General features: G+C 54.2%; 2 protein-coding genes across 25 annotated transcripts in view, besides 7 other annotated features; one reads left to right on the top strand and one right to left on the bottom strand.

The window, feature by feature from the left end:
* Positions 1-6,278, top strand: part of DNAH17 (dynein axonemal heavy chain 17) — a 153,700-nt gene extending 147,422 nt beyond the window's left edge. For all 3 annotated transcript variants that reach the window (XM_024451013.2, NM_173628.4, XM_011525416.3), the window contains 6 exons: positions 675-854; positions 1,268-1,450; positions 2,867-3,049; positions 3,375-3,518; positions 4,404-4,629; positions 5,822-6,278. In XM_024451013.2, the coding sequence (XP_024306781.1) occupies positions 675-854; positions 1,268-1,450; positions 2,867-3,049; positions 3,375-3,518; positions 4,404-4,629; positions 5,822-6,069 (1,164 nt within the window). In that variant the 3' untranslated portion in view covers positions 6,070-6,278. The remainder of the gene's footprint in view (positions 1-674; positions 855-1,267; positions 1,451-2,866; positions 3,050-3,374; positions 3,519-4,403; positions 4,630-5,821) is intronic.
* Positions 3,051-3,551: an enhancer, noted in NCBI's record as "H3K27ac hESC enhancer chr17:76422505-76423005 (GRCh37/hg19 assembly coordinates)". NCBI's record gives its function as "activates a minimal SCP1, AML or CMV promoter by ChIP-STARR-seq in naive H9 embryonic stem cells {active_cell/tissue: H9 hESC(naive)}" and the evidence as "EXISTENCE:reporter gene assay evidence [ECO:0000049][PMID:30033119]".
* Positions 3,552-4,052: an enhancer, noted in NCBI's record as "H3K27ac hESC enhancer chr17:76422004-76422504 (GRCh37/hg19 assembly coordinates)". NCBI's record gives its function as "activates a minimal SCP1, AML or CMV promoter by ChIP-STARR-seq in naive H9 embryonic stem cells {active_cell/tissue: H9 hESC(naive)}" and the evidence as "EXISTENCE:reporter gene assay evidence [ECO:0000049][PMID:30033119]".
* PGS1 (phosphatidylglycerophosphate synthase 1) overlaps positions 5,316-15,930 on the bottom strand; it is a 46,011-nt gene continuing 35,396 nt past the window's right edge. For 5 of the 22 annotated variants that reach the window (XM_017025357.2, XM_047437101.1, XM_017025361.3 and 2 more), the window contains 2 exons: positions 14,948-15,096; positions 5,316-10,429 (listed from right to left, as the gene is read on the bottom strand). In XM_017025357.2, the coding sequence (XP_016880846.1) occupies positions 10,310-10,429; positions 14,948-15,096 (269 nt within the window). In that variant the 3' untranslated portion in view covers positions 5,316-10,309. The remainder of the gene's footprint in view (positions 10,430-14,947; positions 15,097-15,930) is intronic. The other 17 variants (NR_111989.2, XM_011525487.3, NM_024419.5 and 14 more) reach the window with 12 other exon arrangements.
* Positions 6,846-7,425: an enhancer, noted in NCBI's record as "H3K27ac-H3K4me1 hESC enhancer chr17:76418631-76419210 (GRCh37/hg19 assembly coordinates)". NCBI's record gives its function as "activates a minimal SCP1, AML or CMV promoter by ChIP-STARR-seq in naive H9 embryonic stem cells {active_cell/tissue: H9 hESC(naive)}" and the evidence as "EXISTENCE:reporter gene assay evidence [ECO:0000049][PMID:30033119]".
* Positions 9,699-10,383: an enhancer, noted in NCBI's record as "H3K4me1 hESC enhancer chr17:76415673-76416357 (GRCh37/hg19 assembly coordinates)". NCBI's record gives its function as "activates a minimal SCP1, AML or CMV promoter by ChIP-STARR-seq in naive and primed H9 embryonic stem cells {active_cell/tissue: H9 hESC(naive and primed)}" and the evidence as "EXISTENCE:reporter gene assay evidence [ECO:0000049][PMID:30033119]".
* Positions 11,893-12,401: an enhancer, noted in NCBI's record as "H3K4me1 hESC enhancer chr17:76413655-76414163 (GRCh37/hg19 assembly coordinates)". NCBI's record gives its function as "activates a minimal SCP1, AML or CMV promoter by ChIP-STARR-seq in primed H9 embryonic stem cells {active_cell/tissue: H9 hESC(primed)}" and the evidence as "EXISTENCE:reporter gene assay evidence [ECO:0000049][PMID:30033119]".
* Positions 13,933-14,227: a silencer, noted in NCBI's record as "tiled region #14012; K562 Repressive non-DNase unmatched - State 14:Gen5'". NCBI's record gives its function as "represses a minimal TATA promoter and a strong SV40 promoter by Sharpr-MPRA in K562 cells {active_cell/tissue: K562}" and the evidence as "EXISTENCE:reporter gene assay evidence [ECO:0000049][PMID:27701403]".
* Positions 14,842-14,891: an enhancer, noted in NCBI's record as "active region_12895". NCBI's record gives its function as "activates an Ori minimal core promoter by ATAC-STARR-seq in GM12878 lymphoblastoid cells {active_cell/tissue: GM12878}" and the evidence as "EXISTENCE:reporter gene assay evidence [ECO:0000049][PMID:35858748]".

Raw genomic sequence — 15,930 nt, 5'->3', positions numbered from 1 at the left:
TCGTTCCCTAAGGCCCGGGCAGCCTAGGTCAGATAAGTCACTTGCTCAAACCCTCTATGTGACTGCAAAGACCCTGGAGGCACGGGAGCTACTGGAAGGATGAGAACCAGGAAGGACTCTACTTCCACAGGGTGGAAGGGAGACTCACCAGATGCATCTGAAGACATGACTAACGACTTCGTGGCCAAAAGGTTGACGGCACTGGAGTCAATCCTTGAGCCACACAGAATCAAACCACTTGTGTTGAAATTGGACCGTGAAGGGCAGAGTCTCAGATGGTAACACAGAGTGGGAGAGGCAGAGGGAGCGAGTTCCGATTCAGCCCTGTGGCCTCTGAGGCACAGTGAGGCACAGCAGAAACACCTGCCCCACGGGAGGTGCAGAGCATGCCGGCTGTGGAAGCGCTGTCCAAGGTGGAGGGAGGTGCCACACAGCCCCTTGTGAGAGAAGCCAAAGGGGCCGGACATTGGCGTCTGGTGGCGCGGAATGGAAAGAAAGGTGGCCCTGGGGCCTGGTGACCCTGAAGGTAAATGGCCAGGAGGCTGACCTGGAGGGCGAGAAGGACACAGCACCAATGGCTGGGTTCCCACGCCCTGCCTGCCTGAGCCTGACCCTCTCATGGCAGAGAAGGGGCACAGGGGCACTTTCCCCTACCCGCTGTCATCCTTCCTCAGGTGCCCTGGGACGATCTCCGCTACCTTTTTGGTGAAATCATGTATGGCGGCCACATCACAGATGACTGGGACCGTCGGCTGTGCAGGACCTACCTGGCTGAATACATCCGGACGGAGATGCTGGAGGGAGACGTCCTGCTGGCCCCCGGCTTTCAGATCCCCCCCAACCTGGACTACAAGGTAAGGATGACAAGTTAAACAGGAGCTCAACGTAATGAAGGCTCGTGCCTCCCGGTGAGAGCCTGCCAGCACAAATGGAGTGTCAATAATTGAGCAAGAACCCAGGCAGCCAAAATAAGAGAGGATGAGAAATGCGTCTCACTTGGAAGAAGCACAAGGCTAATACAAACAACCTTTTTTTTTTTTTTTTTTTTTTAAAGAAAGAAATGCAGCCTCAGGGAAGGGGGAATGGAATTTTCCTTTATGTCGCTGGGAGCACAGGGGGCAGCCCACAAAGGGGGCTGGGAAACAAGTGGGATCTGTACAGACAGCAAGGTGTGGGTGAACGTTCTGGCAAGGAATGCTTAACCAACAGGACATGGGTTTCAGCCTGCACAGCTTTGCCTCTGCTTACAAACTGCCCTCTTTTTCAGGGTTACCACGAATACATCGATGAGAACCTGCCCCCTGAGAGTCCCTATCTGTATGGCCTGCACCCCAACGCAGAGATTGGCTTTCTGACGGTCACCTCAGAGAAGCTGTTCCGCACTGTCCTGGAAATGCAGCCAAAAGAGACGGACTCGGGGGCAGGCACGGGAGTGTCCCGCGAGGAGAAGGCAGGATCTTTGAAACTGCTCCCAAGCGAGAGGAAGGGGGAGGATCTAGAACTGAGGAGGGGGTCACAGGGACTGGCGGCAGTACAGGGGAACTTGCTGGTGAGGTACACTCTGCCCCAGCCTTGGGCTTGGGTATCAGAAACACTGGGGTATGGCCCGCAGGCTGGTCAGCAGGTCCTCAGACGTGGCAGCTGCAGGCTTCGGGTGAGCGTACGGGCCCAGACAAAAGGGATCCTTGGGGGTGTGGATGCGGCTCCAAGAGCATCCCAGCCCTCCACCCTGCAGTCTTCCAGCTTCCCTAGCTGAGCGCCAGGAAGGGCACCGACCATTCCCCACCCTGGCCTGGCCAGCACAACAGCAGTAGCAGCTCGCACCGGGCAGCCGGATGTGCAGGCAGGTACTCCAGAGCCGCTCAGTGGCCACAATGGCAGGTCCTGTTACTGCTCAAAGGATTAGAAGAGTTCAGGGGATGCCAGTGTTCTGAACAAATTCTCGCTTGTCTGGGTGGCTCTGTGCTGCCTCCTGGGTACCTCCACTTTTTTTTTTTTTTTTTTTTTTGAGACGGAGTTTTGCTCTCGTTGCCCAGGCTGGAGTGCAATGGCACGATCTCGGCTCACTGCAACCTCCGCCTCCCAGGTTCAAGCGATTCTCCTGGCTCAGCCTCCCAGGCTGGGATTACAGGCGCCTGCCACCACACCTGGCTAATTTTGTATTTGTGGTAGAGACAGTTTCACCATGTTGGCCAGGCTGGTTTTGAACTCCTGATCTCAGGTGACCATCCCGCCTCGGCCTCCTAAAGTGCTGGGGTTACAGGCGTGAGCCACTGTACCTGGCCTGTACTTCTTAATAGAATGTGGAAAGGCTCTATTACGTACTAGCTAAGTACAGGACTTCCCGGTAAAGACTGAATTCTTGATGTGAGACCCTTATTCCTATTAGGTCCAGGACTTTCTCTTAGTCTAATGACTGAAATCAGGAATTGGCTGACAGACGGTGGTGCAGGTGACCACTGCACTGTGTGGGCCACTCCTTAACAGGGTGTGACCAGCATGGTCCCTACAGAAAGCCCACGTAAAGGACAAAGTCGCAATCCCTCAACCGCTGGCTACATTTGACCAGAGGCTGGTGCGTGGGAATGAACAAATGAGGCACCGAGCCAGGTGGCCTGATGCGCTCATGGCCGCGGCTGCAGGGACTTGTAGTGAGATCAGAATGCTCGGAGCCGCTGGCCAAGGCTCCCTCTCCTCATCAAATGTGTGGCTGCACCCATGACCCTGCATTTCTGGCAACTCTACTTGCCTCTTCCCTCCTCTCCAGGACTTGGGGCTGGGAACATTTTGGGCAGGCTCCCTGACCCTGCAGTGGGTGGGGTGGGCTCTTTGCAGTGACAGGGGCTGTCCGGGGACTGGCTTCCAGGTGAAGGCCGTGCTGGACGACATCCTGGAGAAGATTCCGGAGACTTTCAACATGGCTGAGATCATGGCAAAGGCAGCGGAAAAGACCCCCTACGTGGTAGTCGCCTTTCAAGAATGTGAAAGAATGAACATCCTGACCAACGAAATGCGCCGTTCGCTCAAGGAGCTGAACCTGGGGCTGAAGGTAAACATGGGTCAGCCCGGCCCCAGGGACGTGGCTGGATGGTGAAACCAGCAGAAACCCAGGCCTCTGGCAACCCAGGCCTAGCACAGGCCCCGGATCAGCATGGTACTGCTCCCTCTCCAGAGCTCTGGCAGTTCCAGAACAAGCCCCGGGAGCTCATCTAGACCGTTCCTTAGCAGGAAGCGCTTGCGTGGCCCTGATGCAGGGCGTCTCCAGAGGCGCAGCACAAAGCCACACTGTGTTGACAACTCATGACACGCACTGGGGCTGGTGCTCTCCCAGGCCCCAGCTCAGGGCTCCCCACACCCATCTGTGTGTCTCCTAGGGAGAACTGACCATCACGACCGACGTGGAAGATCTGTCCACGGCTCTCTTCTATGACACCGTGCCTGATACGTGGGTGGCCCGGGCCTACCCCTCCATGATGGGCCTGGCGGCCTGGTACGCAGACCTGCTGCTCCGCATCAGGGTAAGTGCCGTTTTCTCTGAGAGGCTTCCTAAGACTCGGGGACCGAGTGCCCAGAGCTCGGCACACCCCACACCCTAGAGCCTGCAGGAGCATGGCCAGGAGGCTCCTGGGGGCCTGTCCTCTGTCAGATCAGGGCCAGAAGGGCCTAGCCCATGCCCCTCCCACACCCTGACAGTGCAGCCATTTCCTCCCAAAGGAGGAAAACAAGCCAGGCCGCAGAGCAGCTTCCATCAGCTCCTCCTCAAGCGACCCTCAAAGGGTAAGCCGTCCTCTATAAGGAGCGAGGCAATGAAGGCAAGAGCCTCTTTGGGCTCCTAAATTATCCACAAACAGGAAGCCATTTTCTTCCTGACCCTTCTCTACCTGTTCCCTTGTTTAAAATGGAGCAAACAGCAGCTGGACACGGTGGTTCACACCTGTAATCCCAGCACTTTGGGAGACCAAGGCAGGCAGATCACTTGAAGCCAGGAGTTCGAGACCAGCCTGGCCAACATGGCGAAACCCCATCTCTAAAAATACAAAAATAAGCTGGGCATGGTGGCCTGCACCTGTAATCCCAGCTACTCTGGAAGCTGAGGCAGGAGAATTGCTTGAACCCGGGAGGCGGAGGTTGCGTTGAGCCAAGATTGCACCACTGCACTCCAGCCTGGGTGACAGAGCGATACTTCATCTCAAAAAAAAAAAAAAAAAAAAAAAAAAAGCAGACACCAAAGTTGCGTCATGGTAGGTGGCTGGGCTCCATGGCCCCTACTCTGTCCAGCACTTCTAGCTCGCTGAGTGGCCCGTGGAAGGTTCTGGCGTGACCCCTGCTCAGAACGGCCAAGGCCCGGTCGTTCCCATGTCATTCTATGTCCTCTCCTCCTAGCGGCTCGTGTGTCCTTGCAGGAACTCGAGGCCTGGACGACAGACTTTGCCCTGCCCACCACCGTGTGGCTGGCCGGCTTCTTCAACCCCCAGTCGTTCCTCACGGCCATCATGCAGTCCATGGCCAGGAAGAACGAGTGGCCCCTGGACAAGATGTGTCTGTCTGTCGAGGTGACCAAGAAAAACCGAGAGGACATGACCGCTCCTCCGCGAGAGGGCTCCTACGTGTACGGACTCTTCATGGAAGGTAAGGAGGGCTCTTGTCTGTCTGCAGAAGCTTCCAGAGCCAGTGCTACTTGCCAAGACAAGATAAAACTAGCTCTTGGCAAAGACAGGCTGTTCAAGAGCTGTGGGGACAGGCAGGAGAGAGGTGCTCTCAGGGGGCATCAGCCTGCAGGTCAGAGCCACGCTGACCCTAGAGAGGGTTGAGAGGATTCAGGGAATGTGCAGGGTCTGGAGGAGACCAAAAACACCCCAGTCACCTGGCCTCTGCTTTAATGAAAACAGCAGAGCTTGTGAGAGAGCAGCTCCGACGTGATGAAAAGCGCTGAAAAGCCCAGGCTTTCCCTGCCACGGAGCAGTCAGCCCAGGGCAGAAGTGCGTTTTGTGGCTGCACTGAGACTCCAGGTCATGCTGGCTGGCCCAGTCTCACCCACTCCCCAGCTGCTGCCACTCCTGGAACACAGGGTTCAAGGGAAAAGAGGCTGGGGCACCTGTTAGAAGTCCGCCCCCACATCACCCCTGTCCTGCTACACAGAAGAGGTCAGCCAGGACACCGAGGCCGGCCATCTTCTCAGCCCGCCTCTGAGTTGAGCAGCAATGCCACCACCACATACCTGTCCCCTTCAACAGCTGACGTCACCCCATTACCTGTGGGGTGGCAGGGTTGGGCCAGCAACGGCTCAGGCACCCCATTTCCCACACAACCAAAGATAAGCTCTCCATGTTTGTTTATTTTGAGATTTCAGACAGGAAATAAAAACACCATTAAATAGGGCGAGTAGAAATAATAGCAGTCTGGTTAAAGGCAATATTTATATGCACAGATGTATAATTATATTGTGTATGTACACATAGGGCAGACATTACACATTAAGAATCAGGGAACTTTACTCTGTAATTTTTAGCTGGAGTTATGACTTCCTGCCACTGACATTAAGGCTGACAGATGAGGCTCTGAAAATGCCACAGATTTAAACGGATGGAACCCGAGGGCTTTAGCTGAGCTGTTCCTTGAGCCCAGCGGGACGGGGTAGTTACAACATGCAGGCCATCACCTACGAAGGCCTCTGCTTCCAGCCGTGGCAGCTGGCCTGAAGCCTTTTGGGGTAGAGCCCAGCTCTGCAGAGGGCGGGGAGTGTGAGGACCCCACCCTTCCTGCCAGCCCCTCCCTCACTTACTGGCAGCACACCTGACCCTCAGCCATACTGTCCCTGCAGGGGCTCGCTGGGACACCCAGACTGGAGTCATCGCTGAAGCGCGGCTGAAAGAGCTGACCCCGGCCATGCCTGTCATCTTCATCAAGGCCATTCCTGTGGACCGCATGGAGACCAAGAACATCTATGAGTGTCCCGTGTACAAAACACGCATCCGCGGCCCCACCTATGTCTGGACCTTTAACTTGAAGACCAAAGAGAAGGCAGCGAAGTGGATCCTGGCAGCCGTGGCGCTGCTCCTACAGGTTTAGCTCGCTCCTGCCTCACAGCCCACACTCCCTGGGGCTGGACCACAACTCAGCCCTTCACCTGTGCACCTGTGACTTATTCTTTACAGGAACTGGTGGTGGTTTTTCGTTCTCTTAAATAATCAGGTGCTTTGTAACCAAGCACATCGGAACCAGAGGGTGGAGGTTGGTGTGGAAGAGGTGGGGCAGATTAAAGCCAGTGGAGCCACTCAGCTGTGCCCATCCATTCTGTGCCTGATGGCCACTGTGAGGCCTGGTTCAGGCTTTGGGGAAAGGCCCCAATTCCCAGCAGCCAGAGGCAAGCATTCCAGGAAGTAAATCCCAAATCCTGACTTCCCGGGGGGGTCAGTGGAGTTTGCTTTTAACAGGAGCAGCATGTGGGGTGAGGGCTTGGCACTCACACCCTCTGGCCTGATGCTTCATGCAAACCACCTGCCAATGAGGGGACAGGGCGTTACCCCATACCAGGAGCTGCCGCCTCCACACAGCGTCTCATCCGCCATTACTCCCTGCTCCCAAAAACAACAGGACCTTTTACAAGTAAGGAAACACACCCAAGCCCCCGCCCCCAGAGTCTAGAAGAACAAGCCGTTCCCACAAGCAAGCCCCGGACCTGTAGGACTCTGTGGCTGGGCTGATGCAGGACACGGCAGTGAGGTGGCCAGGCTAGCTAGGGCAGCAGGGTGCAGGCACGAGGGGAGAGAATTAACTAGCAACCTGGGGGATGAGGGGAGACAGCGGCAAACGTCAGAAAAGACGGATCCCAGGGGGACCAAGACAGGATCAACATTTTTTTTTTTTTTCGAGGGAGAGTGAGAGTTTCACTCTTGTCGCCCAGGCTGGAGTGCAATGACGCAATCTCGGCTCACGTTGCAACCTCCACCTCCTGGGCTCAAGCGATTCTCCTGCCTCAACCTCCCAAGTAGCTGGGGTTACAGGCACCCACCACCACACGCAGCTAATTTTTTTATTTTTAGTAGAGATGGGGTTTCACCATGTTGGCCAGGCTGGTCTCAAACTTCTAACCTCAGGTGATTCACCAACCTCGGCCTCCCAAAGCGCCAGGATTACAGGTGTCAACCACTGTGCCCGGCCCTCAACATTTCTCAGGCTTCAAAGAAAAGCAGGCCGCTGCAGCAGCTCACGCCTCTAATCCCAGGACGGCAATCTTACTTGAGCCCAGGAGTTTAAGACCAGCCTGGGCAACGTGGCAAAACCATCTCTATCAATCAAAAATACAAAAAATTAGCTGGGAATGTTGTATGTGCCTGTGGTCCCAGCTACTCAGGAGGCTGAGGCAGGAGGGTCGCTTGAGCCCATGAGGTCAAGTACGCAGCGAGGCATGATCATGCCACTCACTCCAGCCTGGGTGACAGAGTGAGACCCTGTCTCAAAAGGGGGAAAAAAGGCAAACACACCCATTAGGAATATCGTTCTACGTTCAGCTTGATCATCAAGTTTTGCAAAAACATTTTTCCAAGTTTACTCACCTAAATCATGGGTTAAGAAGCATCTAGAAAGTCCAAATTCTGAGGGTAATGATTCACAACAATCTTAGCGCCCAGTAGGGCTATCGGAGGGAAAAGAAAAATCCTCCCCTCCTGGCGCCCAAGGAATCCAGCCCTTTGTGGCTGCAGAGAAGGGAAGCAGTTTCAGCCTCCCCCAGCCTGGCTGGGCCAATACCTCTGCTGGCCAGGAGGGGTCACTGCAGCCCTTCAGGTGACCAGGGGAGCTAAAGCCACCAGGGGCCACCGGGCAACTCACTTCAGTCCCTGGTAATAACCACAAAATGTGACGTTTTTCCATTTTGCCTTTAGATCCTGAAATAAGAAAGTAATCTAGTCCACACATACATATTGTGGGTAGTTGACAAAATTATCTCTAAACTTTCCAAGAAATGATTCGCACTTAAGCTGCACTCCAGCGACGGGGAACACAGGGACTGGAACACGACAGCCCCGCGCACCTAGAAAGCCGGGAGGACTGCGGCGGCCGCCGCCCGCCGCCCGCTGCTCTCTGTTGCTCCGGCTGCTTTGCAGAGTTAGGGAGGCTTGGTGTGGGGAGCTCCTCAGGGAGAACCTGCCTAGGACAGCCTCGAAGGTCATCAGCAGAGACAGAGGGAGCAGTGTGCGCTGCGGGAACGGCACTGCAGATAGATTGCTTAAGCCTGGCTGTGGCATAATGATATTTACTCTGGTCCCACAGAATCTGGAGGAATGCGAACTCTGTTTACCGAGAGCCTCTCTCCAAACAGAAACCCAGTGCCCCTGCACATTCCTTTGGCTCCTCCAGTCTAATTGTCCCACAGGACACCGTAATAACTAGTTGGAAGGCAAACAGTGTTAACTGATGTGATGTGCTGCTGTCCAGGGCACTGTGGCCAGGCCGCCGCTCCACCTATCCCCAGCCACTCAAACTGCAGGTCTGCCTGGTGCGGAAGCTGCAACTGTCCTTGTCTAAGACCAGGTGAGCCTATGCAACCTTTCAGACCCCATGAAGGGTGACAGTGACTCCTGCCAGCCCTCGGGAGGGAAAGGCGAGAAGCTGCTTCTAGAGAGGCAAAGTGCAGGGACTAAATCTAATCTCACTCCCCGAAAGGACAGGCTGCCATGCCCTGTAGCCCAGGAAGCTTCTCTCTGTGCAAGGGTCAAGCACCTGAAGATGATAAAGAGATCAGGCAGTGAGGTCACAAAAGCAGCTCCTGGAGACACTGGGGGATATGGAGAGCTGGCTTTATAAACACACATGACATGTATTCAAAATCCCCTGCTACTAGGTGACACAAAAATGTTTTAAGTAGATCCAATAAAAATAAAGTTCATTCTTCAAAAAATAAATTGCTAGGGAAAAAACAATCACAAGGTGTAGTCCTTAATTGGACTTCAAGTCAAATAATCGAAAAAATTAATTTTAAGGCAAGTGGAATTGTGAACACCATTTAGGTATTTGATGATACTAAGACATTCTTGGTAATTTTTGTTTCAGGAGTGACACTGGTGCTGTTTTGGTTAAGTACACATTTTGGGGGAAGACAGCAGGATATGCACGTTATTTAGAAATACGGACACGTGTGCACATCAGAAGAAACAAGCCAAGAGTGGCTGCCTGGGGGAAGGGAGGGCAGGAAATGGCCGCAGTATTGTTTTACTCTCTACATTTGCACACACTATTCAAATAAAATGAAAAGTAATTAAAATAACTAGGAAAAGCTGCAGATAAACTACACATTTTTAAACAATGAGACTTAGCAGAGCACTAAGGTGCCAGGCACTAAGGGAGCCCACGCTGCACACATGAGATGCCGGCACTAGCGCATGTGCCGGCCACATGGGTCCTGGCTCATCTTTGACTCCTCACCGTCCCTTCCCCACAAGCCACCATCCAAAGGCCCAGCCATCCAAAGCAACAGAACTACCCACAACATCCAGAACCAGAGAGCAGGGGCCTCGGGAGCCTGACCCCACCCGGAGTGCAGTCCAGGCCCTGAGGGATCCAGGACACAAAAGGTCACTCAGCAAAGACCCCACCTTTAATGGCAGCCACCCCCTGCCCGGACCTCTAGGCGTCAAGACAGTCCAGGGGTACCTCAGGTGACTGTGGGACCCCACTGGTGCCTCTGGTGAAGCGGCAGGCCCCTCCTGGGTGGGCAGAGCAGGTCCTGTTACTCAACTTCCAGAGTCTAGAAGGGCGCAGCTCTGTAACCGCAGCACAGGGATGTCAGCGAGGCGTCCAGGCAGCAGCCCACGGTCTGGCTCTACCGACGCCCCACCCTGTGCACTACAGCCGGCCAGGGCAGCAAGCCAGAGCCACTCTCACGAGCAAACGTGCTCCCCTCCTCCCACGTCTACATCTCCTGCACCAGTGTGCTCAGCTTGGAGGGGCTCAATCTGCCTTTCTGCCCCCTCATCCCTGAGCCCTTGCCCCAGGGCTTCTTCAGGACCCCCTGGGAAGGGAGAGCAGAAGGGGACTACAGGCTGCCACTGCCGACCCCAGCACAGGCGCCTTGGGACTTAGTGGAGTGGGTACCAGATGGAAAGTGAACAGACTGCCTAATTTAGCATCCAGCTTCTAACTTTGAGGACAGCTGCCATACCCCTGAAGATGCTGCTCTGTGTTTAACTGAGAAAGGGATCAAAGAGCCCTCTGGAAGCTCTGGTTGAGTCAGAACAACCACCTGCCCCACCTGTGAACTCTCGGGAAAATCGTGCTGAGAGGTGATGCTAGAGACAGCACCTGTCTGTCCTCAGAAGAAGTTCTTGATCAGTGGAGTCACCATCTTCACCCACAGCTTCACCTGGCGACTCGGCTGCTCGAAGGTGGCAGAGGACACCACACCTGACCTCAGGTAGAGCTGCTCTTGCTCCTGAGGAAGAGGAACAGACAGGAATAGTGAGGAGTCCCCTCCAGCACCACACCACATGGCCGGCTGGCCCCAGCCCAGCCCCTCAGGCCAGCCCAGAAAACCCTGACTTCCCATGTCTACCTGGCCCAGAGATTCCCAGGGTGCTCTGGTGGCAGGCAAGGCCAGGCCCTACAAGTTGCCACTGTCAAACATTCCTTAGAAAAGCTAAGAAGCCGTGTTCCTAAAGACTTTTAAGGGCTGGGCACAGTGGCTAAAGCCTATAATCCCAACACTTTTGGAGGCTGAGACAGGAGGATCGCTTGAGCTCAGGAGTCTGAGGCCACCCTGGGCAACACAGGGAAGACATCATCTCTATGAAAAAATTCTAAAAATTAGCCGGGTATGGTGGTGTGTGCCTGTAGCCCCAGCAACTTGGGAGGCTGAGGTAGGCAAGGGTTTCAGCCCGGGAGGTCAAAGCTGCATGAGCTGTGATGCTGCCACTGCAATCCAGCCTGGGTGGCAAAGTGAGACCTTGTCTCAAAAAAAAAACCCAAAAGGCTTTTAAGACCAAGACATGTAAAGGACTCTAAATTTCTTCAATTTAGAGTTGAAGAAATATAACTGGTGGAAAAAATATTTTAAATGTTCACCCTCACTAAACGAGGTAATGCATATTAAAATGAGGTATTTTTTAAATGAGACACAGTTTTTCTTCTATCAAATTGGCACAAAGCCAATTTGTGCCAATGACATCTGTGATGTCATTATCCCCCACACTGATGAACGCTTAGTGCTGAGGGCAAGGGGGACAAGTCATCCTCTAGAGTGAGCTCTGGCAACAGGTATCAAGAACCTTATAAAGCTCCCTTTGCAAGAGCTTACCCCAAGAAAATCACTATGCGCTAAGATTTTTATATACAGATATTTATCACAATATTTATAACAAGGAAAAACTGGAAACCACCTAAATGTCCAACAGTCAACTTATTAACAACTCATATGACAAACCAGCATTCACCACGAACTTATTAACAACTCATATGACAAACCAGTTTTCGCCATGAGAAGAGTGTTGACCTAATCATATGGGAAAGTGCCCAGAAATCGGCAGGCAAAGGAAGCTGGACACGAAATACACACACACGACAGAATCGTCATCTGATGCTTAAAGCTGTGCCTCCGTGCGCTGTACACAGAAGGCAGGCGGCCAATCATCACAATGGCTTCAGTGGTTTTCCCTACAGAAAGGGTTAGTTTCTTTCCGTTTTTCTTAATTTTTATAGTGAACACATGTTAATTTCATATTTAAAAACAGGTTTAAAAACATTTATATATGCGGCCGGGCGCGGTGGCTCACACCTGTAATCCCAGCACTTTGGGAGGCCAAGGTGGGAGGATCACTTGAGGTCAGGAGTTCGAGACCAGCCTGGCCAACGTGATTAAACCCCATCTCTACCAAAAATACAAACATTAGCCGGGCGTGATGGCATGCACCCATAATCCCAGCTACTCAGGAGGCTGAGGCAGGAGAATCGCTTGAACCCGGGAGGCAGAGGTTACAGTGAGCCGAGATCGTGCCACTGCACTCCAGCCTGGGCGACAGAACAAGACTCCATTAAAAAAAAAAAAAAAAAAAAATTTATATATGCTTTGTCCGAAATGGTGTTTGGGATCTTTGAAAAGCTTCTCTTGTAAGAGTCTGCCCTCCAAGTGCTCTCTCCTCAGTGTCCTCAGTGGGGCGCCTGGCAGCGCTCACACAGTTGCACCGCGACTCTAGCCCTCTCTCCTCCACTGAGTCTCCAGCGCTCTCCACCGTAATGTCCGGGCCATACCTACATCCACACCGCCGTGAGGACCACAGGTGATGACCACAGAAGCACAGTGCCAACCGCAGGACAGCAGCAGCGGTGGCCTGTGCCACTCAAAGTGGCACACTCCCTGCTCAGGAGGCCGGGAGGGAGGACACAGCCCTGGCAACTCCTCTGCCCCGGGGGGTCAGGAAGGGGTCACCCCACACTCCAGAACCCTACAGAATGTGGCCTTGGCTTTTCCCATCAAGAGCTGGGGAAAGCCAGGCCCCGACTTCATTACCCCCTGCCCCCGTCCCATGCTCAGTGGGCCCCATCGTGGGTCCATGCCACACTCCCAACTGAGCAGCCCCGCAGCCCCGCGTGTCACAGACATGGGGCCTCCTAATTGCTGCTGAGGTCCCAATCCCTGGCTGGACGTGCCTGATGGAAGAGCCAGCTCTGGTCTCAGGGGGCTGGTTTGCAGGAGTCTCCACAGACCTGGCTCCAGCTTTGTGTCTTCAAATGAATACCCGGCCAAGATTGCAACTAAATTACCAGAAACACTTAGGTTTCCTCACAGACTCCACAACAGGGATGGAGAAGGAAGTCAGCTGACGAGGTTACGACGCTGTTCGAGGGAGTCTTTCTTGGGTCACAAGTGGTAAACTGTGTTCCCTGAACAAAACCAGGAAGCTTTCAGTGTTTATTGTATGTACTAAGTGGAGGGAGGGGCTTCAGATTCTGATAAAAATATCTCCCCATTCCCAGTGCCCAATGTGACATGAATAGGAGGGCCCCTCCCTGAATTCCCAAGCAGATCTCCAGAGACAGCTTCAGAGAGCAGGGAGCCCACGGTGGCTGGGGCTTTAGGGACTTTCTGGGTTGTGGGGAGGCTAGAGGCTGGGCAGTCCCAGCAGGATTTGGCCTCTAGGGACCGGGCACTGTAGGGCTCAGGAGAGCAGCTGCCGTCCCAGTATATAAGCATAGGTGGAATTATCTGGAAACATATTTCTGCGTTTCACAGGCAGAGAAATCAGTCTATCCCTAAAGAATGGAAGAGCTACAGTAGCAGACCTACCACCCTCCACCCTCCCACAGGCAAAAGCCCCTGAGATTCAGGTTTGGGAAGAAAAAGAAAATATCCCAAATATGTCATTTGAGAAAGCAGCTGCTAACCACAGGCGGCCCCAGCTTTTCTCAAGATCCAGGATGTGGGTTCAGTGCCCTTACTAGGGCAGTGGGGGAGGACGGTCAGTACCAGGACCCCAGGCACAGGCCTGGAGGACTTGCTCCCCCAAGCAACTCAGATCCACGCAGAACCCATCCTGGCCCCTGGCCAAAGTCACCAAGGACTCTCTACCGCCCTGGCACAGAGCTACAGTGGAAGTCTCTGCGAACGGCTCTCTGCAATTGAAGTAGAAGTCCAGGAAAGCCCGCTGTTGAAAGCTGCAGGCTCAGGTCTTTCCCACTAGCCTGGCTCCAAGGCCAGCTTGTCACCCTATTACTGGAATCTCTCAGCTTGTGGGGGCTTCCTCAGTCATTTGCTGTAAACCTCACTGTAGGAAGAAACCTGAGCAAACCCATTACCCCACTGGCCCACCCAGAGGATGACCGCTTCACTTCCTCTTGCGCCTGTCGTGGTCGTGAAGCCTTTCCTGGCACCAAGGCCCCAATCAATCAGTCACTGACAAGATTCCCAGGCTGCAGGAGGACAGATCCCAGGGAACACATCAGTGACCATTTCCTCGTCCATCAACAAAGGCTCTGACAATTTTGCAACAGTTATTCCCAAACCCTGGAGCATAAAAGCTTCACAAAGTTACCGTCCGATGCCTCTGGGCTCTGGCCTGCGGCAGTGTTATCTGCATCTCCAGGAATGGAAAAGGGAAGTTGGTGCCTTCCATGGAAAAGTGTTATTGCAAAGGTCACGAATTCATGAGCCCAAGGCACCATCGAGGTCTCAGACAAAAGGGTAACACGCTCCCATTTCAAAAGTCTAACCACACTGTCACAGGTCATCAAATAGAGGGTCATCCCGAAGCATTCACCAACTCCTGGTAACCTTCTTTTATCTCCCTCAAAGAGAAAATGGGCTACTATTATCAAACGAGGGCCGAAACCACTGTTGAACCCTTTTATTTTTTGAGACAGAGTTTCGCTCTTGTTGCCCAGGCTGGAGTGCAATGGCACGATCTTGGCTCACTGCAACCTCTGCTTCCTAGGTTCAAGCGATTCTCCTGCCTCAGCCTCCCGAGTAGCTGGGATTACAGGCACCCGCCACCATGCCCGGCTACTTTCTTGCATTTTTAGTAAAGGTGGGGTTTCACCATGTTGGCCAGGCTGGTCTTGAACTCCTGACCTCAGGCGACCCACCTGCCTCGACCTCCCAAAGTGCTGGGATTACAGGCATGAGCCACCACACCCAGCCCCAATGCCGAACCTTTAACAGTTGACCCTTTGTCTTAAAAGGAAAAGGTCCCAGGGAGAAAATGGTGGTCTCCCCTAGTGCAGAGAAAGAAAAAGTCCCCAGGACGTGGGGTGCAACGCGTCTGGGAAGTCACAGGCATGATCTTCCAAGGCTCAGCCACCCATCACTGCACTCTTGGAGACCCAGAGTCTTTCTTGCTCTGCTCTGAGTCTCACTCGTTGCCTCAGGAAACAGCTCTCAGGGCAGCCCCACAGCACGGGTGAGCCTGGGCCCCCAGCCACACCCTCAGCGCCCTGGGAAATCCCACTTGCTGCGACCAACCTGGTGAAGCTGCTGCTGCAGGGCCTGGTTCTCCGTCACGATCGCAATCTGGGCCTCCAGGTCCCGGTGAACTGACCTGTACCCAAAATTAGGAGAGCCAATCAGCGTGAGACAGGGCAGGCTGCTCCCTGCCAGGTACAGCCAGAGGCCTGCGGGGAAAAGGAAACGTGCAGACAGGAAATGAGCACAGCATCTACCAAAGTCCTCTCCACACGCTGCTGCAATCTAAGAGAAAGGCGGCCTGCCCTGGGTGCCTGGACACGAGGGGCTGCTGCAGAGCGGCGGACAGGCCACACCAGGACTCACTCTTCCACCCCCACCCCGGCGCGGCAGGAAGCAGGGACCCAGGATCAGGGCGCAGCCTCAGCTCAACTGCTGGTCTTTGCTTTCACCATTCACACTGTGGCCTTGTGTCCCAAGCAGGACGAGAAGCAGGCTTTCCCAGAGGGAACATGGTGACGCCACCTGCCGACCTGCTCTCATACACCCCTGCCCAGCTGCCCACTGAGCCTCTCCCCAGAGAGCTCAGGGCCTCGAACCCCACTCTGAACTGCCTCTGCACATCCAGACCTGCTGACCCTGCCTGCTAAGCTCAGAGCCTGCACTGGCCATCCCTTCCTGTGAGCACTGAGAATCAGCTCACGCGTGCTTCTCAGAAGCAGCCACCTCAGCGCGCAACACGGCAGATGGTGAAGGACAACCACGCGACCCAAGCCAGCAGATGTGGGGTTGTCACGCGGGGTGGCAAAAGTGGCTGGTAAGAACAGGTCTGCCTTGAAGGCTGGCTGCCTTACAGGTCCTGGGTAGGCCGTCTGTGCCCTTCTGACTGAGGAACATGTAGTGAGTCTCCCTGACCCAGCCTCCCTATTTCAAGTTGCTGATGCACCAAAACCCTGTGAGGACAAAGGGGGTCCAGGCCTGGGACCTCTGCCATCACTGCCCACAGGGCCCAGGGACTTCCTGGCTGGAAAAGACAATGGAGG

The sequence above is a fragment of the Homo sapiens genome, chromosome 17, assembly GCF_000001405.40.
Source record: "Homo sapiens chromosome 17, GRCh38.p14 Primary Assembly".
NCBI classification, from domain to species: Eukaryota; Metazoa; Chordata; class Mammalia; order Primates; family Hominidae; genus Homo; species Homo sapiens.
This window is presented reverse-complemented; position numbering and strand designations above follow the sequence as displayed.